Genomic DNA, 27,484 nt, shown 5'->3' with positions numbered 1-27,484 from the left:
GTCATGAGGAAGAGGTGGGTCTTGAGACAGGAAAATAGGACTGAAGGGGTGGGAAGTTGGGTTATTCCATGAGTTAACACACATAGGGTTTGAGTGCCGAACAATGCTATTTATTGTTGTCATCCATCACTTTCATATTCATCATCATCGTCACCTGTGAGACTTGGGATCCCGGATGACAGTGACTGCAATGGAGGTCACCACCTGAGGCAAGTAGGGGGCAGGATGGAGCCACACCCGTAATCCTCGTGAAGCAGGTTTTTGGGGTTTAGACCACCTATAGGCGCTTGTTCCCTGGGCACCTGTCAGAAGGGGAAGAGGGATTATGAAAGAGCCCAGGCTGGAGGTCCCATAGCCCTCTCTGAGTGGAGCTCCTGGCTCCATGTTGCTGTCAACCTAGGAGAAGTGAATGTGCTTCATGAAGGAAGGTGGCAGTTCCCCTATATCCCCGTTAGGCAGATGAGGGAGGACCCTCGGGGAGAGGCGGAAGGGGAGGGTGGCAGGGCCTGTGCTCTTTGAGTCCTCCGCTCTCTGCCTGAGTACGGGCCTGAAGATCCCTAACGAAGGCCTCTTCCATTCCACAGTGAGTAAAGACCTCCTTGGGGATGACTGACCCAGAGACTAGCTGGCCAGGGTCCCCCAGCCTGACCTCCTGCTCACACCCACCATCCCCTCAGTAGCCAGCTTCTTTTCATTTTGCAACACTCCTGGGACCCTCATCCCTGAAAGCCCCCACGGCATCCAGGGCAAAAAGGGACAGCAAGTAACAGAACGGCACAAGCTGCCTTCCAACCTAGGCTGGCAGCCCCTTGAGGACTGGGATCTTGTCTTTTTCTTTTTTAATGTGATGCTTCACAAATTTGCATGTCATCTTTGCACAGGGCCATGCTAATCGTCTCTGTATCGTTGCAATTTTAGTACATGTGCTGCCGAAGCAAGCACTGGGATCGTGTGTTACTCATCCCCAGTACCCAGCCCAGAGCTAGCACAGAGTGGGTGCTCAACAGAGGCTGAACCAAATTGAACTGATCAAAATGAGAGTCAAAAGAGGCCTTTTAGCTGGGCGTGGTGGCTCCTGCCTGTAATCCCAACACTTTGGGGACCTGAGGTGGGAGGATCGCTTGAGACCGGGAGTTTGAAACTAGCCTGAGTGACATAGCGAGACTTGCATCTCTACAAAGAATGAAAAAATTATCCAGGTGTGGTGAACACCTGTGGTCCCAGCTACTTGGGAGGCTGAGGTGGGAGGATCGCTTGAGCCCAGGAGTTGGAGGCTGCAGTGAGTTCTAATTGTACCATTGCACCCCAGGATAAGCGACAGAGTGAGATCTTGTGTCTTAAAATAAATAAATCAAAATAAAAGAGACCTTTCAGGTGGTGAAGCCCAACCTTCCCCAAGACAGGGGTTTTCCTTCAAATGTGCCCAGCCTCTGGTGCTGGGCAATTCATTACCTCTCAAAGTAAGCCCTGATGCCACAGGGCTACCCTTCTATGCGGACAAAATTTCCCTCCCCTACGCTTCACCCACTGGTCTAGGTATTTCCCTGGGAAGCTACACAGAATAACTCCATCTAGCCTTCTTGGGATAGTCCTTCAAATATTGGAAGATGGCTACTCCTCACCAAACCACTTTTTCAGATATTTAAACCTATGCTATCGTCATCAGGCCACTTAGCAACACAGCTGTTAGGAGCCTGGGCTTCAGAGTCGGGCAAACCTGGTTTCAAGTCTTGACTCCATTGATCAGTAGCTGTGGGAAAGCATTGTCACAATGGCCAGCTCAGAGCAAGCCCTCACACCAACATCAAACAACCCCACTTACCTACAGACCAGTCGCAGTGTGTCAGTGTGTGTTCACCAACTACCACAAATGGACGCCTCTGGTGTAGAATGTTTTTTATTTTTAGTACGGGATTTTTAATAGTGGGAGAGGCCATACCTATGTGGAGGTAGGGAGTCTATTTCCCATAGACTGTCTGTACCTTCCACTCAATCTGATTGTGAGCCTAAAATTGCTCTTTTAAAAAAAAAAAAAGTCTGTTACCCAGTCAGGGTGGCTCACGCCTGTAATCCCAGCACTTTGGGAGGCCGAGGTGGGTGGATCACCTGAGGTCAGGAGTTCAAGACCAGCCTGGCCAACATGGTGAAACCCCATCTCCACTAAAAATACAAAAAATTAGCCAGGCGTGGTGGTGGGTGCCTGTAATCCCAGCTACTCAGGAGGCTGAGGCCGGAGAATCGCTAGATCCCAGGAGGCAGAGGTTGCAGTGGACCGAGGTCGCACCATTGCACTCCAGCCTTGGCAACAAGAGTAAAACTTCATCTCAAAAATAAAATAAAAAATAAAAAATAAATGTAAGTCTATTTTTAAAGAAAAGTCCCTGGGCCGGGCACAGTGGCTCACACCTGTAATCCCAGCACTTTCGGAGGCCAAGGTGGGCAGATCACAAGGTCAGGAGTTTGAGACCAGCCTGGCCAATATGGGAAACCCCATCTCTACTAAAAATACACAAATTAGCTGGGCATGGTGGTGGGCACCTGTAGTCCCAGCTACTCAGGAGGCTGAGGCAGGAGAATTGCTTGAACTGGGGAGGCGGAGGTTGCAGCGATCTGAGATTGTGCCACTGCACTCCAGCATGGGCGACTGAGCGAGATTCCATCTCAAAAAAAAAAAAAGGTGTTCCTGAAGAAACACACACACACGCACACACACATTGCCATCTCCCTCCCATTCTGAGGGCCAGGTATTAAATACTGATCCCTGGAACTGGTCTGACCAGCAGGGAATGGGGGTGGAGGGGTGAGGAATTGTCTGTGTGTCCTCCCTGAACCTGGCCTACCCCCTCTTACACAGTGGGCACAGCCAACCCATCTGACCTTAGGAGGTTGGCATGGGACACAGAGGGGCTCAATCCTGGTGGTTAAACTTCTGAGGGCAAGAGGGGGTTGGATGGTTGGATGGATGGATGGATGGATGGATGGATGGATGGATGGATGGATGGATGAATATTCAGATGGGCAAGTAAACCTTTGAGTTGTTTTCATGTGTGCCACCTCTAAGCAGGTCTTCTTCACTCTGTACTTGGGCTGCCTATTTACTCCCCAAATGTAATTTTCATGCATCCCTGCAATGTTTTATCTTGGTGATGAGGGTCAGCATTTCAGCCGGTGGCATTCCTTTTGGATGCTTATTCCATCAGTTCAGTCCACAGCAGACATTTATAGAAAACCTGGTGAAAGGAAAGAGACAGGGCTTTAGAGTCAAACTGACCTTGATCAATCCCTTGTTCCACCACCTATCAGCTCTGCAGACCTTCAGCAAGGTGCCTGCCTTCCCTGAATTTTATTTCTCAATCTACGTGAGTAGACTGCTGGGATGAATAAAGATAGTTCATATATGGAGTATTTGTAAAACAGGTAATAGGGATACTTGCCACCGACGGCTGTAAGGATTAAAGGAGAATTGACTCCTTGTAAAGCACTCAACAGAACACCTAGAACAGACTGAGCGCTCAGCTGCGTTGAACTAGGATAGTATTCTTACTTATTGTTATTTTCACCACTGGGTATCTGCCCTAAGCAGGGAAACAGAACTCGTCATGGAAACAACATCAAGAAGTAAGACACTTGCCAAGTTCCAGGTAGGATCCCAGCTCTGTGCCTTCCTGGCTACGTGGTGCGCACCACTCCTTTATTTTCTCTCTGATTGACGTCGTCTCGCACCACGACCCACCAGCCTGTTGGAGGGGCGCGGGTCTGGAGGAACGGGGATGTGTCCCTCAGGGCAGGGCTGGGTTGGGATCCCCGCGCCGGGCCACCCTCCTGCAGGGGACACTGAGGCCAGCTGCAGGAATGTGAGGCCACATTCACCCCGGAGCAAAGGCTTCCAGTGCCTTCTACAGTTTAATCCACAGAAATGCCCCGGGAGCCACCTGACATAGGAAGCGAGAGGATAGGTCTCAACCGTGATCATTTTTACTTGCCGGGATCCTGTGTAAGGTTTTGGTACTTTGTTATTTTTCATTTTCAAGCTTTTTTATTGAGGAATACGGTAACAACTGTGAAGTGCGTAGATCTTAGGGCTTCAGTTCCATTTGTACACACCCATGTCACCACCCCCGGATCAAGACTGTGAGTCATTCATGTGCCCTCCCAGGCATGACCCCCATTCTGGAACTTCACAGAAATGGAGTCATACCTAGTCTATTCTATTCATAGAATACAATCGAGTATACTATTTTTGCAGCTCTTTCAGTCAACATGATGTCTGTGAGCCTCACCCATGAGGTCTGTTGTCCATTGCTGTGTATTATTATCCCAAAGTGTGAAAAGGCCACAGTGTGCCTCTCTCTTGTACCATCAGTGGGGATGTGAGCAGTCTCCAGGCTGGGACAATTAAAGTTGCTACAAACATTCTTGTATGTAACTTTGGGGTCCATCACCCTCATTTCTGCTGGGAGTGGAACTAGGGTTAGTAGATACAATCAGTGTTCCAGAGTGGTTGTGCCAATGTCGCTCCCACCAACAGCGTATGAGAGTTCCCATGGCTCTGCTTCTCGCCCACTCTTGGTGCCATCCGTCCTTTTATCTTTTAGTCTTTCTGGCAAGGGCATAGTGGTATGTTATTATGATTCAGTTTGCATTTCCCCATGACTAAGGATGTTGAGCACTTTTTCATATGACTATCAGAGATGTAGGATTTTGAAAGTTTCCAAGGCTTTTAAAAAAGAATGTTTGAAGGCCTATTGTCATACATTCCCTGGAGCTCAAGAGGAAGGGTTAGTGTGTATCTGGTCTGCCAGGTGGGGGCCCTCCTAGAAGAAATCCCTGTTCCGGTGGCCTGGGAGGCACTGGAGAGGCTGGGACAGGATGGGTGGAGTCAGAGGAGGAGGGGGAGGAGATGTGCTCTGGGGGATTCCCAGAAGAATAGGAAGGACAAGCCAGCCATCAGGAAACAGGAGTCGTGGGGCACAACAGAGTGATTGGCATGAGGCCTCGAGGTGTCATGGTGACCACACCGGGTGGGGTTCGCTGGAAAACCTTCCTCTGGTCCCCACAATTGACCCGAAGCAATGGAAATTTCCTGGGGCGTTAATGACAAGAAGGACAGGGGACAGCAAGGCACACCAAATGGGATTTTCCCTGTTGACTATAATGGGTTGGAAGAGAAGGGCAGGCAGTCAGGGCTGGATGGCAGCCGGCGGGAGGGAGGTAATATGCTGGCGAGAGGCCTGGACTAGGAGGCAGGGGGCTGGGCTCTGCAACCAGCTCTGCCACTTCTCACCAGGTGACCTTGAGCAAGGCCCTTTGCCTCTCTGATTCCATGACCCCTCTCTGCATGTGGAACAAAGGGCCTGGCAAATGGAAGATGGGCGCCTAGTGGCCTCTCCCAAGTTGCTCCTGAAGACAAAGCAGCAGGGCCAGGTAGCAGGTCCGCCCCAGAGCTCTTAGACAGCCCTGACAGTGATGAATCACCGCACCCCACTCCATCTCCATGATCTACTGCAATTGATCCTGAGCCCAGGTGCCTGGGGTGATAGTGGCCAAGGGCAGCTTCCAGAGAAGCGTGGTGTGTGGCAGCTGCAGTGGGAGTGGGGGGATTGGGGTGGGCATGGTCTCATCCCTCACTGTGAGAGTGACCCACTCTGCCCTCCCTGCAGAGAAGCGAAGGAGCTCCCCTGCTAATGAAATAAACAATCCAAGCCCCCACGAGAGGGGAGCAGAGAAGGGGCTCCAGGGAAAACCACGGTAGGAGCAGGCTCCCCATGTCTCCTCCGACAGCCCACTTAAGGAGTATGGGGTGGCGAGGACAGACCCCCCCCAAGAAAGACTGGGGCTGTCCGTCTCCAGGATTTCCTCCACAGAAGTATCTGTTCACCCTAGGAAGATCTGGGGGCTTGATCAATGAAAACCATAGGTCTCTCACATGATACTCTTTCTGAAGACACACCCAAGCCCCAATGGGAATTGGAGCCCCCAGCTGGCTGGTGTTGGCCTTCCTGCAGGCTCTGGGATAAGGACAGTACCCAAAGTTCCCTGACTGGGAAGGCTCTCCCTCTGAAACACTCTGCCTCCTCTTGTTTTCTGCTGTTACCTCCCAGAGGTCAAATTCTCCCTTCCAAAGCCTGGGCTCATGGGTGTCCTATTCCACGCCCTATTCTTTTGTCCCTGTAGTTCAACTCATGCAAACCCCAAGCAAGAGGTCTAACTACCTATCCAAGAATTACAGACCTTTGGAACCTGATGGAACCTCAAAGATCATTCTCCCCAACTCTCAAATGGGGAAATTGAGTCCCAGGAGCCTAACAACAGTAAGAATTCTTTACATTTATATGATGTTTGGAAATTACAAAGTGACTCAGGAGATTTTAAAAACAGCTAAGACTAACAATATCACTCCCTAAGTGCCAGGCAGTGTTCAACATACTTTATAACATTGAATCCTCACCTCCAGCCCTGGAGGTAGGTATTATTACTCTTACTATCATTCCCAACACAGGGACATGAAGACATGAAGAGAGTTTCCCAAAGTCCCGCAGTTAGCCACTGAGGAGCTGGGCTTTAAACCTAGGCAGTCTGGCCCCAGAATCCGTGTCTCTAACCACTCTGCAACCCTACCCTCTGCCTGCTGCCGTAGAAACTGTGAAGGGCAGAGCCATATATGCCCTGGCATCAGGGAAGGAGGAAGGAGACTGCACCAGCCTAACTCCACAGGGGATCCCAGGCCCCATACAAGTTTTTGTACACCCATGTATCAGCAAATGCCCCAGGTAGGGTGAAACCTGAGCTCGTGGGAACGGTGTTTGGTATCAAATGGCGTCATCAGAGGCAGGCCGGGCTCATGAGGAAAGACTTCCTGGAAAAGATGCTATGGAAGATGATTTTGTAGAACAGAAGTGATCTGGAGAAGTTGTAGAATACACAGCACTGGGAAGGAGCACAGACCTCTGTCAAGCCTCTGAGCCCAGGCTAAGCCATCATATCCCCTGTGACCTGCACGTACACATCCAGATGGCCGGTTCCTGCCTTAACTGATGACATTCCACCACAAAAGAAGTGAAAATGGCCCGTTCCTGCCTTAACTGATGACATTGTCTTGTGAAATTCCTTCTCCTGGCTCATCCTGGCTCAAAAGCTCCCCCACTGAGTACCTTGTGACCCCCACTCTTGCCCGCCAGATAACAACCCCCCTTTGACTGTAATTTTCCTTTATCTACCCAAATCTTATAAAATGGCCCCACCCCTATCTCCCTTCGCTGACTCTCTTTTTGGACTCAGCCCTCCTGCACCCAGGTGAAATAAAAAGCCTTGTTGCTCACACAAAGCCTGTTTGGTGGTCTCTTCACACGGACACACATGAAACCCTCAGTGGCCAGAACTTCATTTCCTCCTGAGTAGCCCAACTCTGCTGGTGGGGCTGACCTTGACAGATTTCTAGTGAGTCTGCAGCTGGATGATCAATTATATCAGGAGAAGAAATAGGTGCTCCAGAAACTCTGCCATTCCCGTGTTTTTATATTTCCTGTTTTTCTTATTTTCCTGGTAACATTCCTCTTTTTTTTGGAGACGGAGTCTCACCCTGTCACCCAGGCTGGAGTGCGGTGGTGCGATCTTGGCTCACTGCAACCTCCGCCTCCAGGGTTCAAGCAATTCTCCTGTCTCGGCCTCCCAAGTAGCTGGGACTACAGGCCCACACTGCCATGCCTGGCTAATTTTTTTGTATTTTTAGTAGAGACGGGGTTTCACCATGTTGCCCAGGCTTGTTTTGAACTCCTGAGCTCATGCAATCCACCCGCCTTGACCTCCCAAAGTGCTAGGATTACAGGCGTGAGCCACTGCACCCAGCCTTTTTTTCTTTTTCTTTTTTTTTTTTGAGATGGAGTCTCACTCTGTTGTCAGGCTGGAGTGCAGTGGCACAATCTTGGCTCACTGCAACCTCTGCCTCCTGGGTTCAAGTGATTTTCCCGCCTCAGCATCCCAAGTAGCTGGGACGACAGGCGCACGCCACCATGCCCAGCTAATTTTTTTGTGTGTTTAGTTGAGACGGGGTTTCACCATGTTGGCCAGGATAGTCTCGATCTCTTGACCTCGTGATCTGTCCGCCTCTGCCTCCCAAAGTGTTGGGATTACAGGCATGAGCCACCGTGCCCGGCCTGGAGCCTGCTTTTGAATCCAGCACTGTGGCCCAGCTCCCAGATGCCCAGGGATTGTCTCCATTGGCCTTGAACTCACATCTTTCTGACTCTGCACACAGTGCCAGTGAGGCAGGAGTCCCACTCGTCTACTCTAGTGCTGTTGCCACCCATGCCCTCCTGCCCCAGCCTCAGACCCAAGCCCCAGGAAGGGAGGCCAGGAGTGTCGGAGCCCTGCCAGCCTAGATGAGAGGAGGCTCCCTCAGGGCCACCTAGACCCACTGGAATTCCCACCCTCAGGGAAAATGGAAGCCTCCTGGGTGTGGGGAGTCCCTGTGCAGTGGCCAGCAACTGAGGGAGGGAAGGGGGCTGGAGAGACCTGACAAAGACCCCAGACACTCCCACAGCCCTCCCTAAACAGGCAGCTTCCTGGGCTCTGCCCCAGGGGTTTCATTGGCTGGGACCCTGGAACATAGCTGTTTTTAGAGCTCTTCAGGGCACAATAACCCCAAACCAGTGATGTTTCGTTTCTACAGAAACAGTCTCAGGCCCGTTGCTCTGCCCAGCTGTCCTGCTGGGTGCTGGACAGTGGCTCCAGGAGGTCTCAGCCATGGTGGGTGATGAAGTATCCTGCTGGTGCTGGAAGAGTCTGGTGCTCATCTTCATGCAGCTGGCCCAGCACCACCACCATCACCACCATCACCACCACCATCACCATCACCACCATCACCACCACCACCACCATCACCACCATCACCAGCATCACCACCACCAGCATCACCACCACCATCACCACCATCACCATCACCACCATCACCACCACCACCACCATCACCACCACCATCACCACCACCACTATTACCACCTCTATCACCACCACTATCACCACCATCATCACTGCCACCACCACTGCACCAGTACCATCACACCACCACCATCACCCCACCCTGACCCTATTCCTATTATTTCTGGGCGCCGCTCAGTGCCAGGCTCTCACGTGCTTACCTCATTTATTTCTACCCGTCCTCCCTTTTTTTTTTTTTTTTTTTTTTTTTTTGAGACGGTGTCTCACTCTGTCACCCAGGCTAGAAGGCAGTGGCACGATCTCAGCTCACTGCAGCCTCCGCCTCCCAGGTTCAAGTGATTCTCTTGTCTCGGCCTCCTGAGTAGCTGGGATTACAGGCACCCACCACCATGCCTGGCTAATTTTTTGTATTTTTAGTAGAGTTGGGGTTTCTCCATGTTGGCCAGGCTGGTCTCAGACTCCTGATCTCAGGTGATCCACCCACCTCGGCCTCTCAAAGTGCTGGGATTACAGGCGTGAGCCACCGCGCCCAGTCCCTTTTCTCCCTTTTACAGAAAACTAAGGTTCAGCACAGTTAAGGTCACACTGCTAGTGAGGGGAGAATCCAGTCATGACTTTCCCACTACACTTTGTGCTTTTGCAGATTTGGTGCTTCCCCCCGCCACCCCCTCCATTAAGGAAGATCTTTGTGAGAAGCAGATAGGGAGGAAAGAGTTAGGAGCTAGGAGAGGGAAGAGGGCACCCAGAGGAGGTGGGCAGGCTGGGTGTGTGACAGATCAGCCACCCCCTCCAAGAGGACTGGGGGTCAGGTCCCTGCGCAGCAGGGTCCCTAACAGGGAGATAGTCCCTCTCCCCTCAGGAATGTGCGTGAAATCCCAGTAACTCTCTCCAGCTGGGCCTGAGCTTGGAGGGGGTTCAGAGTCGGCCTTGCTCAGGTTCCTTCTTACTCCTAATGACAACTCAAGGTGTGGAGGGCAGGGAGTGGTGGGGCAGGGGTGCTGGTGACATTGGAGACAGCATTCCAGATAGAGGGAACATCCTAGGTGAAGTGGGAAGTGACAATCCTCAACCCTTTCCAAAGGGGGTCACAGTCACACACACACACACACACACACACACACACACACACACACACACACACACACACACACACATGCGCCGCAAGCTCTGGCCCCTCATCTTGAGGCCTGCACAGGCCTAGACCAGTTGGGGGTGTGTGGCCCATGGATGGTGATGGTGAAGGGACTAAGGAAAGCTGAGAGCCAGCACGAGAAAGGCCAACAGGCAGGATGAGATCAGGGATGCGAGCCTCAGCTGCTTGGCAGGTCTGCCACAGGAGCAGGCATGTCCCTGCCCTCAGGAACCAACCCTCACTAGGCACCGACTGTCCACAGCCACTATGCTTTAACATGCAGTATTACCTCACTCATGGCCGACAACAGTCCTGCTCTTATTTCATTTCACAGACGAAAACGTTGAGGCTCAAAGGGTTTGAGTGACTTGCCCAAGATTAGACAGCTAAGAAGGTGGCCAGCTCAACCTTGAGCTATCTTCCTCTGCAGATAAACTGAGAGATGGAGGCAGTGGGGGGCATGAAAATGGCCCCAGGCACTGCACTGAGAACCAGGTTGCCTGGGTTCCTCCCTCACCTCCCTCATCAGTGAGCTGTGTGACCCTGAGCATTTCACCAACCTTCTCTGAGCTCCAGTTACCATCTGTCAACAGACTCAAAGGGGTGGGGGCATCAAATAAAATAATTTAAGTAAAAGCACATGAAACCTATAATTGATATTATGATAATGTGACCACGGGTTTAACTTGGCCCAGAGAGCCAGCACAGGTGAAGCAGCCGAGATTCTACGGAGGGGGGATGGGCCAACATCATCCCCGTTACCGTCAGCAGCAACTTCATCCATTTCTGTTTATTGAACAGCTAATAACAAAAATAGCAACCACGTATTACATATTGACTATGTGCCACGCACTGTACTAAGCACTTTACATCAGCTCCAGGGAGATGGACTGGAAGTCGGGCAAGGGAGGAAAGAGGGCAGGACTGCAGAGCTCAGGGCCTCCAGCCTCCATCCAGGAGGTCTGAAGAATGGGACTTCAAGATGACCTCCACCTGAGTTCAGAACCAGAGCAAATTCTGTGTGGCCAAGGAGAAAAGGCTTTTTGCACTGAGGGGCCCACCAGAACAGACACAAGGCTGAAATGCAAGCCAGTCCAGGCTAGAGGAAGAGACCGGGAGCCCAACTCAAGGAAAAGGCCAGGAGGCAGGGGACTCCCAGCAGCTCCAGCGCAGAGCCCACCGAAGGCCACCTCAGGCTGTAGACAAGAGGGTTGAGCCTCCTAGCCCTATAGCCTAAGAGAAGGGGAGGACAGAGGCCTGGCTGAGTCTGAGCCAAGGAAAGAACTCTGTGACTTCTTCGGTTTTGAGTCTCTAGGTGGGTTCCCTCACCACCCTGGCTCAGAGGAAAGCAGTTGAAAGAGTTCCCTCCTGTATGAGCTAAACTGAGGAGGAGAGGGGTATGTCCCCTCCTGAGCAAGGGAAGGGGAGAGTCCCACAACCCCCACGTGTGACGGTGCGGCAGCCAGCCCAGCTTGCAGTTCTGGGACGATGGAATGGAAATGAGATGTTGAGACGGAGACAGAGAAAGCTGGAAACACCCAGCAAGGCATGTGTGGGACAAAACATGGGCCTGACTGGACCTTGGGGGACAGGCTGAGGAGCTTAGCCTGGATGCTGACGCTACAGGAGTGCAGGGATGGCCACTGTTGGTCCCTGAGCATGAAGGGTGTGCCAGAAGTCCTGCCAGCCTGCAAGGTCCCCTGGCTCCAGCCTATGAAGTCAGAAGCTTCCTGTCCCTGTGGATGGGGTCCTGGGTTCTCACAGTTGGGTTTCAACGTAACAATGACATTCAGATAAGACTTGGGAGCCCTCCCAGCAGTGAGACCGCTGGAGTCTGCCCCAGACCTTCCGAACACAGGAGGGTTGGCCAGGAAGACTTGCCTCCAGCCCTTGCCTCTCTGGTCATTGGGGGAAAGGTCAGTCCAGCACACGTGGGCTGGAGACATGGCCAGGCAGACTCAGCCACTGGATGGGCCCTGGGTGGTAAAATCAGCCCTTCCTCCAGCCAATTTGACCTCCAGGCACCAAGTCCAAACACCCAGCCTGCTCTGAGCTCCTGGCTCCCCGCAAACACCTGTGGCCTGCATCAGAGGAGACAAGCAGAGGGCAGACCAACCCAGGACAGCTTCAGGGGCAGAAGTGCCAAGTGGCTGCCCTGGGGAGCTCTGGAGGAGGTGACTCCAGGACAGCCCTTATCAATCCAGCTCATGAGAAAGGTAGTGTCTGTGTCCCCAGGGAGAGGCGGCAGGAGAGAGGGCATTACTATTACCTAATATCACCTATTAGAAATCTAAACCTCTGAGCATGCTCTGCCCCCTCCTCCCAGCCCCCTGATTCCTTGTCTTTCTCCCTTTGCAGCCCATTTCCCAGCCATATCCAATACTTGGAATTTCCCTCATATACCCCACATTTCACACACGTGCCCCGGTAGCCCTCCTCACTCTGCCTACAATGTTCTTCTCGCGGTGAACTCCTACTATGCTATCAAAACCCTGTTCAGAAGGCCCCCTGCTCTGTGGGAAGAGACCTCTCTTGCAGCATGAATCACAAAATAGCATACTTATTTGCATACGTGTATGACTCCTCCATTAGCCAGGGGGCAAGCCCCTCACACCGGGCACAATGCCTGGCACATAGAAGTGTGAGGCACACGTTTGTCTAACTGAAGGAGGAACAACAGGTAGGGCAAGGGAGCACGCCGTGAAGCTGGATGTCTGGGCTCGCTTCCCACCCTGAGGGAAGCCTGGGGTGCAGGAACACTGACATCTGGCTGAGAGGGGGGTGGTCGGGAGAAGCAGGTGAAGATTGCTGGCTACTTGGGTGTGACCCAAAGCTCCTCGGGCTCCCAAACCACGAGGCCTCAGTGAATCCAGTAGAGCTGTTCCTGGAAGAGCAGAGAAGCCCCAGTAGCACGCGGCCTGCAGCCCCCAGAATGAACCCATCTGTGTTTACCCCCTAACCATGGATTTCACTATCTCAGTCTGAGGGACAGGAAAACCAGATGCACTGTCACCATGTGACAGGTGAGAGAACTGAGGCCCAGGGAGTGTCACTGGTGTGACCCCCAGAGGCCATCCTTGCGGCGTGAGCCAGGACCGAGTGCGGGCTCTCCCAGGGAAGCCATTGAGAGGAGCCCAGGCCCTGATGACTAACAGGACAGAGACTTCAGTGGTCAACTGGACCCAAGTCCAGCTGTGGCGGCCCTAGCTGTGGGACCTGGACTGCTGACTTGACTGCTCTGCCCTTTTGCAGTACAGCAAGAGGCACATAGCCAACCTCCCAGGATCATTGCAAGGACAGGGTCCAGCCCGGAGCCTGGTGGGCAATAAGTGCTCCCTGGAGGCCCCACCCCCACCCCCCGACACTGATTCCAGCTCTCCCGGCTCACAGCCAGACCCAGCTGCCTGCAGGTGACTGGGCCTGCCCTCAAGCCTGCGGAGCTGGGAGCGGGGGAACCAATTTGTCACGGTGTAACCAGAGAGTGTCTGGGGGCTCAATGCCAGGGTTCTGGCTGGGGCCAGCACCAGGCCCCTTCCTCACAGCTGTCAAGGGGAGGCTCAGAGACAAAGCAACCAGGGCCCCCCTATTCAGGGAGGGGGTAGGCAGGGCTATGTCTGATAAGGGATGAAAAGGGGGATGGCAGGCCCATGCCAAGTGAGGGATGAGAAATACTAAGACCCCACAGCCTGAGGCAGGGAGAACAGCACACAGGCGCAGATCCCAGTGCCCTCAGCCACTGACTATCTGGACGATCCTGAACGAATTACTTAACCTCTCTGAGCTTTATCTTGCTCATCAGGGATAACATTATCTCATTTTGCAGGCTCAATACGAGGATCAAATATGCCCCAAATCAGCAAAGGCACCTGGCACAGTGCCTTGCATGCCAGAGACTTGAGGCCAATTTCTCCTCCTTGGATTTCCCTTTTCTTGTCCCCACATCTCATTTTCTCTCCACTAGTATTTCTTCCACCAGGGTGCGACCCTCCAGGTGCATCAGGCAAGGCCCATGGTGACAATGGAAGTTGCACTCAGATATTGAGAGGGTGGGACAGGGAGTGAGGGCAATTTGGAGGGAACAAAATCAGAGTTATCCACTGTGGCCCTGGCACGTGTGAGGCCTTGCCCACCACATCCCACCCTGTTTAGCCTTTGGTTTTCCTAATGCCCACACGAGTGCATTCACAGACTCACTTCTTATACAGTCAACCCTCTGTATCCATCCATGGGTTCTGCATCCGTGGAGTCAACCAACTGCAGATCAAAAATACTCAGAAAAAAAGAAAATGGAGAGTAGTGTCAGCACTGAACATGTACACCTTTTTCTTGTTATTCCTAAATAATGCAGTATTACAACCATTTACACAGCATTTACATTGTACCAGGTATTATGAGTAATCTAGAGCTGATTTAAAGTATATGGGAGGATGTGTATAGGTTATAGGCAAATACTACACCATTTTATATAAGGGACTTTTGAGCATGCTTGGATTTTGCTATTCGCTAGGGGTCCTGGATCCAATCCCCCAGAGATGCCGAGGGATGGCTGTGTTTTTGTTTGCACTGTAAGGATGATGAAAGGGCCCTTATAGAGACAGCTGCCACCCTCTCTTGGCAAAGTGGCTGCAGAGTCCATGAGGGGATGATGGGTGAAAGCCTCTGAGAGAAGTTTCCTGGAGGCAGGGAGTAAGGGCTGAAATCCCAGCCTTTTGTCCTGAACCTGTCTCTTCCTCCTGTTCGGATTCCATGTGGGGCCAACCGTGGTAGAAGAGAAACCTGAACTCTGTGAGCCGGACAGGGTATGTGTTCATTTCCCTACTGCTCCCCCTCCCACCCTAGCCCTCTGGAAATGCCAGCCTGCCTCAGCTGTGCTGAGAAGAAAAGGGGATATAGGTTTGAGTTGTGTCCAGGGAAACTGAATTCGTAGCATCCAGCGTGGTGGTGGCTGGACTCAAGGTGAGAGCTCCCCCTAGTGGAAGGTGAGATTCCAGAGGCCCGCCCGGTGGACCCTCTCCCAGAACTGCCCACTACACATTCAGGCAAGCCTTCATTCATTCACCACACTTACTGAGCACTTCTGCATGCCAGGCACTGTGCAGGGCTGGGGAGACAAGTCAGACGTGCAATCACAGTCTGTAGAAAAGAGACTGAAAGAAGCCAGGCACGGTGACTCACGCCTGTAATCCCAGCACTTTGGGAGGCCAAGGCAGGCGGATCACGAGGTCAGGAGATCGAGATCATCCTGGCTAACATGGTGAAACCCCATCTCTACTAAAAATACAAAAAAAAAAAAATTAGCCGGGCCTGGTGGCGGGTCCCTGTAGTCCCAGCTACTCGGGAGGCTGAGGCAGGAGAATGGCATGAACCCGGGAGGCAGAGCTTGCAGTGAGCCGAGATCGCGCCACTGCACTCCAGCCTGGGCGACAGAGTGAGACTCCGTCTAAAAAAAAAAAAGAAAAAGAAAAGAAAAGAGACTGAAAGAGAGTGCAGGGGAAGTCCAGAGGAGGAACCCCATTCCAGTGGAGGAGGCAGGGAGGGCTCTCTGGAGGAAGCACGTCCAGCTTAAACCTGCAGGCTGGATTGGCCTGGCAAAGAAGGGGAAGAAAGAGAGACCCTGGCAGACAGAGTGGCTCCTACTAGCTACCTGAGGATGAGAGGAAGCAGGGGCTCCCTGTCTGGGAGCTGCAAGTGGTCCAGGCTGGGGGCGGCATGGCGTTTCCTCCAGGAACCAGGTCGTGAAAGGCCTCAGCCCTTAACGCTTTGATAAAGGCCACAAACTGTTGGAGGAACTCTTGGAGGAACTTAAGTAGGGAGGTGGCCTGATCTGATTTGTAGTTTAGAACGATCACTCTGGAGCTAGGCACGGTGGCTCATGCTTGTAATCCTAGCACTTTGGGAAGCTGAGGCGGGAGGATCACTTGAGCTCAGGAGTTTGAGACCAGCCTGGACAACACGGGAAACTGCCTTCCAAAGGCGGCCACAGCCACCAGCTGTGGATGGATGGATGCTGGGGCCAGAGCCTTTGCAGACAGGCCAGAGAGGGGTTGCAAATTTACTGGGAGCAAGATACCCCCTCCTTCCGGGCACTGGAATGGAGCAGAGAGAAGGGGAGAGAGACAGAAAGTGAGTGAGTGAATGAGGAGGGAGTGAGTGAGTAAGTGAGTGAGTGAGTGGAAGGGACTTGTCAATTCCACTTTAGGAAAATTGGCTCCATGATGTTTACTGCAAACTGCAATTTGGCATCTCTATTCAGGTGCTCTCCGTGTTTAATTATATGTAATATGGTAGTGGAGAGGAAGGAGTACATAAGTGTGTGATTTTCTCCTTAGTCCCTACCCCCCACTCCACGCTGGGGTCGTAAAGGTCAGAGGTGAGAAATCGAGCCCAGCAGAAGGAGGAACTGGAAGGGCCAGCTGTGGCTTCACAGCCAAGCCTGGATCGCTGAGAAGCAGCATGTGCCCCTGGCCACAGGGTCAGTCTCTGCAGCCTCCTGGGCTTCAGGGACAGACCAGTGTCTCCAGCTCAGACTGTGAAATACCTCGACAAGCCCAGCAATCTTCTGGGTCCATGACCAGGTGGGTCCAGAAGGTGGGCTCAGCCCCCTCACCTTAGACCACAGCCCTCTGGGCTTTTCACCTATCTGTACTGAAGAGGCTTGGTTTCCCGGGAGGCACCCCCAGGTGCCCCTTCTTCATCGACCCTCCCAGCTCCTGCCTTTCCCTCCTGATCCTCACCCTCTGTCCCAAGCTGGGAGGGTGAAGCACCCATTAGTTCATTTGCTTGTTTAATTGCACAGGGAGGGGAAAGAAGTTAAACTCCTCAACAGGAATCTTCCCTGCAGGGCCAGAAATGGAATGACGGGGTGGGGACCCCATCTCAGCACCTGCTGCCTGTCCAGGAGATACCCTCACCCTTGTTCTACCTCCATGCCCCAGATCCCAGGATCAGAGCAGGGTGTGGGGTTACAGGGTCATAGGGAACTAGAGGAGGAGCCTCCATCCCACACCGGCTGGGAGCCCCTCCTAGAACTGGAGCACCATGGGGAGGGGAGCTGGGGGTGCAATGTCAAAGGCAGAGTACTGCCTCAGGGTCTGACTCTCTCACATCTCTGACTCTCTTTGGGTCACTTGAGTTTCTCTCTCTAATCCTCTTCCCTGTCTTTTGTTTCCAGAAAAGCCCCGCCCCCAGAGGGGTCTGGGAAGTGCAGCCAGGCTCCTGGCGGGCACCGTGGCCGTGTTCCTCATCCTAGTTGCTGTGCTCACTGTCTTCTTCCTGTACAACCGGCAGCAGAAGAGCCCACCGGAGACGGATGGGGCCGGGTGAGCCAGGCAGGACTCTGCCCACTAAACTCCCACTGGTCTGCTCCCCAGCACCCTGGGAGCCCCAGACTTAAAGCACCTAAACTTGTGAAAGCTCAGGGCCTTTCTAGGGCCTCCCCACCCTGGGGGACCAGGAACTAACCCTTTGGCAGGAAGAGCTGACCCTCCTGAGTGGTGATTGCTACGTGCCAGGCACCGCCCCAGTTCAAAAGGGCTTCATAAAGATGCATTTTATCCTCACAGCAGCTCAGAGGAGCAGGTGCATGATTACCATCCACGATTTATAGTGAGGAAACTGAGGCACAGAGAGGTTAAATAATTTGCAAGAGTTTACGTGCTCCCAGCCGTTGACAAGGGGTGAGGGCAGACCTAGGACCAGAGAGGAGAGAGAGGCACAAAGTATATGGGGGGAGCCAAAACCCTCAACCATCAGGATAAATCATATTTTAATGTGATATTTTAAAAAAATCAAAATGAAAGCAAAAACCCATGATGAACAAAACGTCCACATTGTAAATAAAGACAGGATTAGAATAACTGACTTTTCCTTTCGCATCAGACACCCAGCACACCACTGTGATGGATCCTGTCTTTACTTACAATGTGGACGTTTTGTTCATCACGGATTTTTACGTTGATTTTCATCTTTAAAATCTTGCATCATGTGTTATTTCCCGTGCTGGCTAAGGCTGTCGGTGCCGCATACCGTGCACCTGAGGCCTCATGCCCGCCCTGGGTGAGGGCCCACAGTGCTGCTGCTGGTTCCTCCCTGTCCTTTGAGCTAGGAAACCTGAGACTCACATGGTTCCCATCCCAAGCTGGGCTGGGGTCCGGGGCAGACACACCTGGGAAAGGTGGCCGGGCACTCTCAGCCTGTAACCCATGACCCCTGAGGAGCCCCAGCCCAAGCTCTGGCCTCTCAGGAGGCTGCCTGGGAAGCAGAGCTCCCGGGCCTGCTCTTGTGAGTGGGGCTCAGGGACCGGTAGCTGTCTGGTGGCCTGATGGGGAGAGCCCCCATGTGTGCTCCTGTGCTGAGCTTACCCTCATTCTGTCTCCAGGACCGACCAGCCCCTCTCCCAGAAGCCGGAGCCTTCTCCCAGCAGGCAAAGCTCCCTTGTGCCTGAGGATATCCAGGTGGGCCTGAGGCAGCAGAGGACAAGGTCCCTGGACTGCGGGGAGGGAGAAAAATGGGAGATGGCCCCAAGGAGAGAGCCCAAGCTGAAGACAGAGCCGCCACGCCTTCATGGTCCAGTTCCCACAAGGCCAGGTCCATGCTAGAGGGATCCATCTGCCTCACCCTAAGAGATGACAACCTAGGACTCTCCCTACCCAGGGCCCCCAGGGGACCTCTTCCTCTACCTCACAGTCCTTTCATTCATTTAAAAAATGCATTGAGCACCTCTCAGGTGCCTGGCCCCAAGCTGGGTCCCTGCTAGAGCCAGCAAAGCTAAAGGCTCAGGGTGCACTTGTGCCCTCCAAGACAGTCACCAGTGTGGGGGATGCCAGAATGGGGGTGCATGGGAACTGAGGAGTCCCAATCCAACTGGGAGTCCATGAGGGCCACCTGGAGCAGGGGCATGGAAAGGTCTGTGCAGCACTCACCGCCTTCTCTTCCAGGTTGTCCACCTGGACCCAGGGAGGCAGCAGCAGCAAGAAGAGGAGGACTTGCAGAAGCTGTCCCTGCAGCCCCCCTACTATGATCTGGGGGTCTCCCCCTCCTACCACCCCTCGGTAAGGACAACCGAACCTCGAGGAGAGTGCCCCTAGCCCAGGACCACCCAGCCTGGCCATGAGCCCAGCTGCCTTAGAGGGAAACCAGACAGATGAGGTGGAGGAGGTGAGGGCAGGGGGGCACAGGGAGGCCCACCCAAGCACTGCAGGCACCCTGGGCAAAGGGTGACTGGATGCTGGACAGACCATTCTGGAAGACTGGCATTTCCAATGAGTCTGGCCCCCCAGCTTGGTGCCCACCTCTCCCTCCCCCAAGCCCCACCTCCAGCTCTGTACCCTGCACCTTAGTTCCCAGTGCTGCCAACGGGGCTGCCAGCGGGAGGTGCTGCCTCTTCCTGGCCTCACTCCCAGCCACTCAGAGGGCCAGCATCCACTTGAATGGCTGCCACCTTTGCCCATATCTGGCTCCTTTCAGCAGACTTGGGGGCAAGGGGTGTTACCCATACAGTGCAGCCCAGAGACCCAGGCCAGACCGCCTGGACCCAAAGATAACACACACTCTCCTGGCACTGGCAGGAGAGCCAGGCCTTTGTCTCCGTGGTACAGCCATCCTCACTCTTGGCAGGAAGTACCAACATGAACCCATCTGGAGGTGCCAAATCCTGCCCCCAGGGAGGTAGCATTCCCTTCCCAGGGTACTGAGCCCAGAGAGCCAGCCCAGCGTCCACCTTCTGATACTACCCAGGGTACAAAGGACCACCAGCTATGTGCTATTCCTCAACCAACCTAGAGACATGGAAATGAGCTAGAACTCACTGTGGACACAACATCCATTCCTCAAACAGCAGCTGGGTAGCTCCTGTACCACTCTCCTTCTCATCTGAGGTGCACCCCCACATCCCAGTCTGCACAGCATGGGCCTGCCGGTTCCAACAGAAGGGATCATAATGACAGTGTGGAACACTTGCTGGCTAGTCACTTTTCAAACATTGTTCTTATCACATGGATTGTTCAACAATCTATATGATAAGTCCTTCCGTTGCCCCATTTTATAGATAAGGAAACGGAGGCTCAGTGAACTTGAAGTGTCTTAGTCTGTTTTGTGATGCTATAAAAAAATACCTGAGACTGGGCAATATATAAAGAAGAGAGATTTATTTCTTACAGTTCTGGGGGCTGGGAAGTCCAAGGTCGAGGGGTCTGCCTCTGGCAAGAGCCTTCTTGCTGCTTCATCCCATGGTGGAAGGCCGGCAGGCGAGAAAGCATGCCCTGAGAGTCAGAGAGCAGGAAGGGGCCAGACTCAGTTTCATAACATGCCCACTGCCTCCATAACTAACCTGCTCCCTTGATAGAGACAATGCATCCGTGAAGGCCTAATCTATGACCTAATCACCTCTCATTAGGCCCCACCTCCCACACCCTTACACTGAAGATAAACTTTCCAACACACGAATTTGGGGGGACACATTCAAACCATAACAAAAGTCTTGCCCAAGATCACCCAGAGACATTGGGGAAGGCTTCACACCCTGGGACCCTGGCTCTCAAGTCCAGGCCCTAAGCAGGCAGCAGCCAGCATGATGAGCAGATGCTGGGCAGTTCACCTGAACACAGGGAAGCCTGGGCAGGGCTTGAGAGCCTCAGGGTCACCTGGTACCGCTAATGCCAAGGCTGCTGCAGCCCCGGGATTACTGTCAGCAGGAGGGCCCAGCTCTGCTGCCTGGTGGCCCCTCAGCTCCAGGGACCCAGACAGTGAACACACAGGCCAGAGAACTTGGGTTCAGAGTCCTGCGTCGGGGGCCAGGGCATTCTAAGCACCAAGCAGGGCGAGAATCTCCCACCTGCAGACACCAGCTCACGCCTGCCTCAGGAGAGAGAGAGCACATCATCCCAGGCCCGAAAGCAAGGGAGGTAGGGGAGCGGGGAGACCACTATTTCCAGAAAGAGAAAGCCATGCCTCATTCGGCGTTCTCCAAATGGGCCTTTTCCCTTAGCCTCCAGTCAAGAGTCACTAACCTCACTTGTCAGAGCCATGGTGAAAGAAGGGGAGGAGAAAGAGGGAGCGATGGGGGCCTGGGGCTGGAGGGAGAAGGAAGATGATGGAAGGGAGCAATTTGGAAAATCATGGAAACTCCAGTGGGATCCCCCATAGAGTGGGCCCAGGCTCGGCATAAAAATCTCTGTGACGGAATGGAACAGCTGCAGCTGGCCCTAATCCCCACTGACGCTTCTCGGTCTTGCTCTCTGACTGCTGCCCCCACACCTGGCATGCCCAGCCCTCCCTGGGGGCACAAGGAGCAGCTTCAGGACAGTGCCCACTGCCTTCACCCGTCCCTCTGCACACTCATCCTTTCGCTCCCCTCCTCTCTCATCCAAGCCCAGACCCTAGCTCATGGCCCTGACTCTTCCTCGTCCCTCACCGCCTTCCCTCCCCGGGCTCTGCTTATGTTGGGTTGGTGGAATCCCCTGATGACTGTATCCATTCAAGAGCCACTTGGGACAAAGAGCACAGTGAGCCCACCTCCACCCACCAGCCACGGGCAGGAGCGGCAGGTTGAGGGGGCGAAGAGAGCACCTACACCCTATGTCCTGAGCCCAGGGGCCGTGGTTAGGGCGTCTGGATGGACAGAGGCTTGTGAACGGCCTGCGGGGTGGTGTGTGGAAGTCACCAGCGGAAGGGAAGCTCTGGCGTCCTGGGGAGGCTCTGTTGTGGTTGCCAAAAAGTGTAATTCCTTTTGGCTTACAGAGCAATTACCGGGCGAGAAAAGGATTTATCCCCAGAACTCGGATTCGTTGGCGATGCAGCTTGTCTACAAGTCACATCATTGATATTATCAATTCTCCTTCCCAAAAAGTCACGAGAAGGAGCCAGGCAGAGAGCAGGCGCTGTTCACCATGGGGCTTCAAGGGAGGTGGGAAGGCTGCAGGGAGCCTGGGGGCCAAGCTCAGCGGCCCCAGACCGGGTGGGCCAAGGCCCCTCTGTGTGGGCCAGGTCCATGATGCACACACACCCAAGGGTGCTCACTAAGGCCGTGGTACTCCACTCAACACCCGCCATGATTTCTGGACTAGGGACCGCTCAAGTGGCAGGAACCATTTAGAGAGCTGGGAGGCTCTAAACTGGGTCTGAGGAAGGACTTCCAGAGGACTCAAAGCCAATGTCTCAACAAGGAGGGAGGAGGAGACATCCCCTGTCCTAAGGAGAGGGGCTTCCATCTCCCCGGTGTTGTGAGCACGGACAGCCCAGGCTAGAAGCAGAAAACTGGACCCAATGACCTTTGGATGGATGGAGTCTGAAGTTCAGGTACTCCAAGGAGCAGATGCCAAGCTGAGATTAGACATGCAAGAGTCACTGGGGGACACCTGTGAAGGACACACGAGGGAGCAGCAGGTGGCAGGGAGAGCCTCAGAGCAGGATGCTGATCCACCTCCCATGAAAGGGGATGGGGAAAGAAGGAGGGCTGAAAAGAAAGTCTCAGGATGGCAGCGCAGTGTAGCCAAGCACTGTGCCATCCTTGGGCCATCGCTGCTATTAGAGGACTCCTGCGTCCCACAGGAAAGGGCCTGCGCTGGATTCCCAGCCTGTCTAGTTGTTGGCTGAGAGCGGTCTAGGGGAATTGCGGTCTCAGCACAAATGCTGGGTGGATCCAGCGGGGTGGCAGCTGGGGCTGCAGCCAGCCACGCTCCGCAGCTGTCCGGGTCCACACTGCCACGGTCTGCCGCGTGCTGAGATCTGCTCTTCCATCCAGGGGCAGGGAGCAGCTCCTCTTCGATTCAGTGTGCCTTCCTTCCTGGGGATGTGGCCCCTGTTGCTGCAGCAGATCTTAGGGCCACACTGGTACCCATCCTCTCCTGTCCATATCCCTTCTCAATTCCCCTCGCTCGGCTGTCTCCACAGCAGGTCCTGGTGTGAACAAAAGTTTTATTCCTGAGGACGCTGAGGCCTTGATGAGCACACCTTCCTCAGGCCAGGGTTGTTGGAAGTGTCCATTCCTTCAAAAGAGAAGAGGCCCCTAAGTAGGCCAAGCGTGGGTTCCACACATTCCTCCCTAGCCCCATTGCACAGAAGCAGCCTGGCCTCCTCCTGCTGATGGGTCAGTTACCCCTGCCACCACCCAACTCCTTTTCTTCCCTGCTGGCCCCAAACACATGCAGTCCAAGGGCCCAGGCAGCAGTCCTAGCTTATAGTCTGTGGGCCCCTCCCTCCCGCAGAGCTCAGAGTTGTGGGAATAAAAGCACAAAATTCCCCCATTGGGTCACTGGGTGTGATGGTAACCGTGAGCCACTCCTGCTTTCTTCTTTGTTTTTCTCTTTTTCATTTTGTTGTTGGTTTTGTTTTTATTTTTCTGTTTTTGTTTTTATTTTGAGATGGAGTCTCACTCTGTTGCCCAGGCTGGAGTGCAGTGGTGCAATCATGGCCCACCACAGCCTCTGCCTCCCAGGTCCAAATGACTCTCGTGCCTCAGCCTCCTGAGTAGCTGGAACTATAGGCACGTGCCACCACACCTGGCTAATTTTTTTGTATTTTTAGTAGAGAGGGGGTTTCACCGTGTTGGCCAGGCTGGTCTCAAACTCCTGACCTCAAGTGACCCACCCACCTTGGCCTCCCAAAGTGCTGGGATTACAGGCGTGAGCCACCATGCCTGGCCTATCCTTTTCTTTTTACTTTTTTTAAAAATCCACTCCTGCTTTCATCCCTTGGTTCCCAGGCCCATGTACTCTTCCTAGTGGGGACATAGCATCCTATAGAGGCCTTTCGGAGTATTGCCGCCAAACTGGCACTGCAGCTGTCATTTAGAAGACCATTCCAGCAGCTGCCATCGGGGTGACCACTTGATTGAGGCTATGCTAGCTGTCTTTTCCCATTCAGGCTGCTATAAAAACATACCATGAACCGGGTGGCTTATAAACAATGGAAACGTGTTTCTCACAGTTCTGGAGGCTGGGAAGTCCAAAGCATCAAGCTATTCAGTGTCTAGTGAGGGCAATACTTTCTGGTTCACAGATGGTGACTTCACTTTGCGTTCTCAAACGGTGGAAGAGGATAGAAGCCCTCTGGGCCTCTTTTATAAGGGCACTAATCCCATTCACCTCCCAAAGGCCTCACTTCCTAATGTCATCCCCTCGGAGGTTAGGATTTCAGAATATGAATTTGGGGGAATACCAACATTAAGACCATAGCATTGGCCGTAATTCTCCAGGATCTGTCTGGTTTCTGTAGGGGTCAGACTGATTAGTTAAATGAAGATTAGAGAGGGCCCTGCACCCTTGCATCCTTTAGGTCTTTAGTGATGACAATGATCTCTGCCATCTTCCCCGTCCTGAGTACAATATCCTTTTTGATTTACTCTCTTGGGTGATGAGGTAGTTTCAGAGTTTCCAGTTGGCCTTCACCCCCACAGACCTCATGTGGGTTTAGTATGTCAATCCCAATTCTGCACTTGTGCACTGTGCAAACACCATGCCTCAGCAGTAAATTTGCCCAATCCTTTGGGGTCCTTGAAGGGTGTTGAATCCCATGTCCTGAGAAAGTGCGCTCCCAAATCAATGAATTCTTGTTTATTCAGTCTATATTCTGGCTCACTTGGTCAAGAACCCTCAAAATCCAACCCAGGGGTGCTCCCCAGACTTCTGCTGGTCAACGCTAGCTTGCTGTTGCTCTCCTGGCTCTGCAGGCCTGTCATCTTCCTTCTTGATCAGGTCCAGCATGGACCCAGCTGGGTTGTGCTGGGCTTTAACCCCAGCATCAGCCTACAGCCAGGAACAGAGGAGGGGGCATCCGTTGCCTCGCAGGGGAAAGGCCTCCACAGCATCTTCCAGCATGCGGTGCTGTTAGCTCTTTAACTAGAGAAGAGTGGGCCACCCACTCAAGGTTCTCCACTCACTCATCCTCCCATCGGTTTCAGAGACCCAGGTTTTCCCCAGCAGGGCCCTTACCAAGCACAACAGGCCTGCCTTGGCTGAGCTGCCCTGGAGCCCTCTGATTCCTACTCTCACATCCTGGGTCTGTTCCTCAGCTGTGTCCACTCCTCCACGGTAGGATATGGGTCTCTTTGGAAGCAACCAAAGAGGGTCTCCAGCTCTGAGGTTGAGCCTCTAACTGCTGATGGCCCTCAGTTTCTCCTTCTCCAACATGACTTAACAATAACCAGCCAGCTCTGCTGCCCTTGCAGCCCTGTTCCCTGCACATCTTTCAAATGCGTGAAGCACTGGACCTGAAACTCCCCTCCACCACGATGTTCTCCCAGGTCCCTGCTGATGAAAGATTTGGCAACTGGGCTACCACTTTGTGCCAGGAACTCTCCAGGGCCTGCCTTCCACTTTGGGTGAGGTCTTCCTTGCCAGCAGGTGCTGGCCCAATTCTCTATTTTACCTTTCGCCACCTGTTTTCTTGGGACCCTCCTGGTATCACCCAGCAGGAGTCACATGTCATTGCTTTCTGTCATCTTTGAGACAGATTCTACGAAGGCTAAAGGCAAAGTGCCCAGTGCTCCCTGGGCAGCCCCACATCCTGGATAAGGTGGTCCCAAACCATGTAGTTGAGCTCCTCTCCACTTACCTGGGTGAGATATTCCCAAACGACCTTTGGCCATCACCCTCTAAACTCCCAGGCTTCCCTGGGGCTCAGAGTCAGGTTGCTCCTGTCCAGTGGCACACAGCTAGGGAAGGTCTGCATAAAGAAGCTGTCTGGAAGACCTCCCCAGTGGAAATCTATAGAGTCTGCACAACCCCAGGACACACCTGGCCTCGCATTTACCTGAAGAACCAGTCCCCAGGCATCCTCAGGATGATGGGAGGGACAAGAGGTAGGATCCATTTAGTCATGGGGACACCACCAATGTACCCCTCTGCCTCTGCAGGATGGCCTTCACACCATCCCAGAGCAGCAGCCACTCTTCCCATCTTTATGGGACTTCCTCCAGCGAAGCCAAAGTCTCGGCAGCTCCTGGGGATAAGAACTTTTGTGGCCAGGTGCAGTGGCTCATGCCTGTAATCCCAGCACTTTGGGAGGCTGAGGCGGGCGGATCACTTGAGGTCAGAAGTTCGAGACCAGCCTGACCAACACGGAGAAACCCCGTCTCTACTAAAAATACAAAATTAGCCAGATGTGGTGGCACACGCCTGTAATCCCAGTTACTCAGGAGGCTAAGGCACGAGAATCGCTTGAACCCAGGAGGCAGAGACTGTGGTGAGCCAAGATCATGCCATTGTACTCCAGCCTGGGCAACAAGAGCAAAACTCCGTCAAAAAAAAAAAAAAGAAAAGAAAAAAACACTTTTGCTCCCAGCATCTCCTACTCACACTGTGCTGCTTGCCCAGACCCCACCTCCCCGCCCCTCAGCCACACTTATAGGTCCCCCCAACTTGTGGGTTGGGACCCAGACTTCCTGTCTGTCTAGCCTCCTTCCCCTTCCTTCTGCCCCTGGTCTCCTGTACCCCCAACCTCCAACCCAGGCTGCTTCCTTCTGGAAAAGAGGTGTCTCCTCCCAGCCCCTGACCCCACCTCCAACTCCAGGCAGGCTGTGGAAGCACAGGGCCAAAGGGAGGAGCAGGTGTCAGAGTGTGACTTTCCCTTGTGAGGAATCAGGAGCTCATTGCATTCATCTTAGCTCTGCCATGTGTCCCTGCCCATGCCATGTGTCATTGATGGACACGAGATGGGCGTTGATGGAGGGCAACTGAAATCAGCACACCTAGCTTTCCCTGCTGCCCAGGCGGCCCAGCCAAGGAAAAGAGTGAGCAGCAGCCCAGGTCACAGAGCTCCCTGCAATAGCACACAGCCTTCTTCCTGTACCAGCCCCTGCCCTCCCGGCGTGCGGGAGCCCTCCTCTCCCTCAGCCCCTGCTCTGTGGACAGATGATCTATCTGCCTGCACACTGGCACTGAGCATTGAGCTGAGGAGGAGGAGCTTGTGAGGATAGATCTAGAGAGAAGAGCTGGAAGGACCTCAGGGATCATCAAGCCACCCTCCTATTTTGCTGAAGGGGAAACTGAGGCCCTGGGAGGGAAAGGAGCTTGGCACAGCCACAGGGTGAGTTGTCAGTAGCTACCCACCCTTGCTTCTGGACCACAGCATTTTCTCTACCCCAGTTCTTCCCACCAGCCACTCCCATTCCCTCTCCCAGCTCCCTGTCTCCTGGGTCCCCATTCGCACATCTGCAACTCCCAGCAGAGGGAGGGAGAGCCTCTGCTACTCAACTTCATGTCAGCCCCTGTCCTTGGAGCACTCTTATTCTAATAATTTGCAAATCACACTAAGAGTCAAAGAACTGCAGTGCCGCTGAATAGCTAGAGGTGGGAGTTGGAGCCCTGGGTTCTAACCATAGTGATATGCTTATAAGTTCTATTTTCCCATTTCACAAAAGAAAAACTCAGCTCAGATGGGTTGAGCCATCTGCCTGTCAAGCCACAGCAGGGGGGTCCG

The 27,484-nt window shown here is 53.5% G+C and overlaps 1 protein-coding gene, 2 long non-coding RNA genes and 1 pseudogene across 3 annotated transcripts in view, besides 2 other annotated features; 1 reads left to right on the top strand and 3 right to left on the bottom strand.

The window, feature by feature from the left end:
- NECTIN1 (nectin cell adhesion molecule 1) overlaps positions 1-19,155 on the top strand; it is a 91,103-nt gene extending 71,948 nt beyond the window's left edge. The window contains exons 6-8 of the mRNA NM_203285.2: positions 17,241-17,388; positions 18,447-18,522; positions 19,006-19,155. Coding sequence (NP_976030.1) covers positions 17,241-17,388; positions 18,447-18,522; positions 19,006-19,155 — 374 coding nt within the window. The remainder of the gene's footprint in view (positions 1-17,240; positions 17,389-18,446; positions 18,523-19,005) is intronic.
- LOC124900303 (uncharacterized) lies at positions 89-15,221 on the bottom strand. Its single transcript, XR_007062919.1, has 2 exons — positions 14,264-15,221; positions 89-3,230 (listed from the first exon to the last, which is right to left on the bottom strand). It is a non-coding gene; the product is annotated as an uncharacterized LOC124900303 (long non-coding RNA).
- RNU6-1123P (RNA, U6 small nuclear 1123, pseudogene) lies at positions 837-942 on the bottom strand (annotated as a pseudogene).
- Positions 6,772-7,339: an enhancer, noted in NCBI's record as "OCT4-NANOG-H3K27ac hESC enhancer chr11:119520624-119521191 (GRCh37/hg19 assembly coordinates)". NCBI's record gives its function as "activates a minimal SCP1, AML or CMV promoter by ChIP-STARR-seq in naive H9 embryonic stem cells {active_cell/tissue: H9 hESC(naive)}" and the evidence as "EXISTENCE:reporter gene assay evidence [ECO:0000049][PMID:30033119]".
- LOC105369520 (uncharacterized) lies at positions 17,636-25,876 on the bottom strand. The gene is made up of 4 exons (XR_001748413.1): positions 25,817-25,876; positions 20,225-20,328; positions 19,876-19,979; positions 17,636-17,757 (listed from the first exon to the last, which is right to left on the bottom strand). It is a non-coding gene; the product is annotated as an uncharacterized LOC105369520 (long non-coding RNA).
- Positions 19,527-20,028: an enhancer, noted in NCBI's record as "H3K4me1 hESC enhancer chr11:119507935-119508436 (GRCh37/hg19 assembly coordinates)". NCBI's record gives its function as "activates a minimal SCP1, AML or CMV promoter by ChIP-STARR-seq in naive H9 embryonic stem cells {active_cell/tissue: H9 hESC(naive)}" and the evidence as "EXISTENCE:reporter gene assay evidence [ECO:0000049][PMID:30033119]".
- Positions 25,877-27,484: the final 1,608 nt, after the last annotated feature.

The sequence above is a fragment of the Homo sapiens genome, chromosome 11 (genome assembly GCF_000001405.40).
Source record: "Homo sapiens chromosome 11, GRCh38.p14 Primary Assembly".
NCBI lineage: Eukaryota > Metazoa > Chordata > Mammalia > Primates > Hominidae > Homo > Homo sapiens.
The sequence above is the reverse complement of the archived record's forward strand: the minus strand, read 5'-3'. Positions and strand labels throughout refer to the sequence as shown.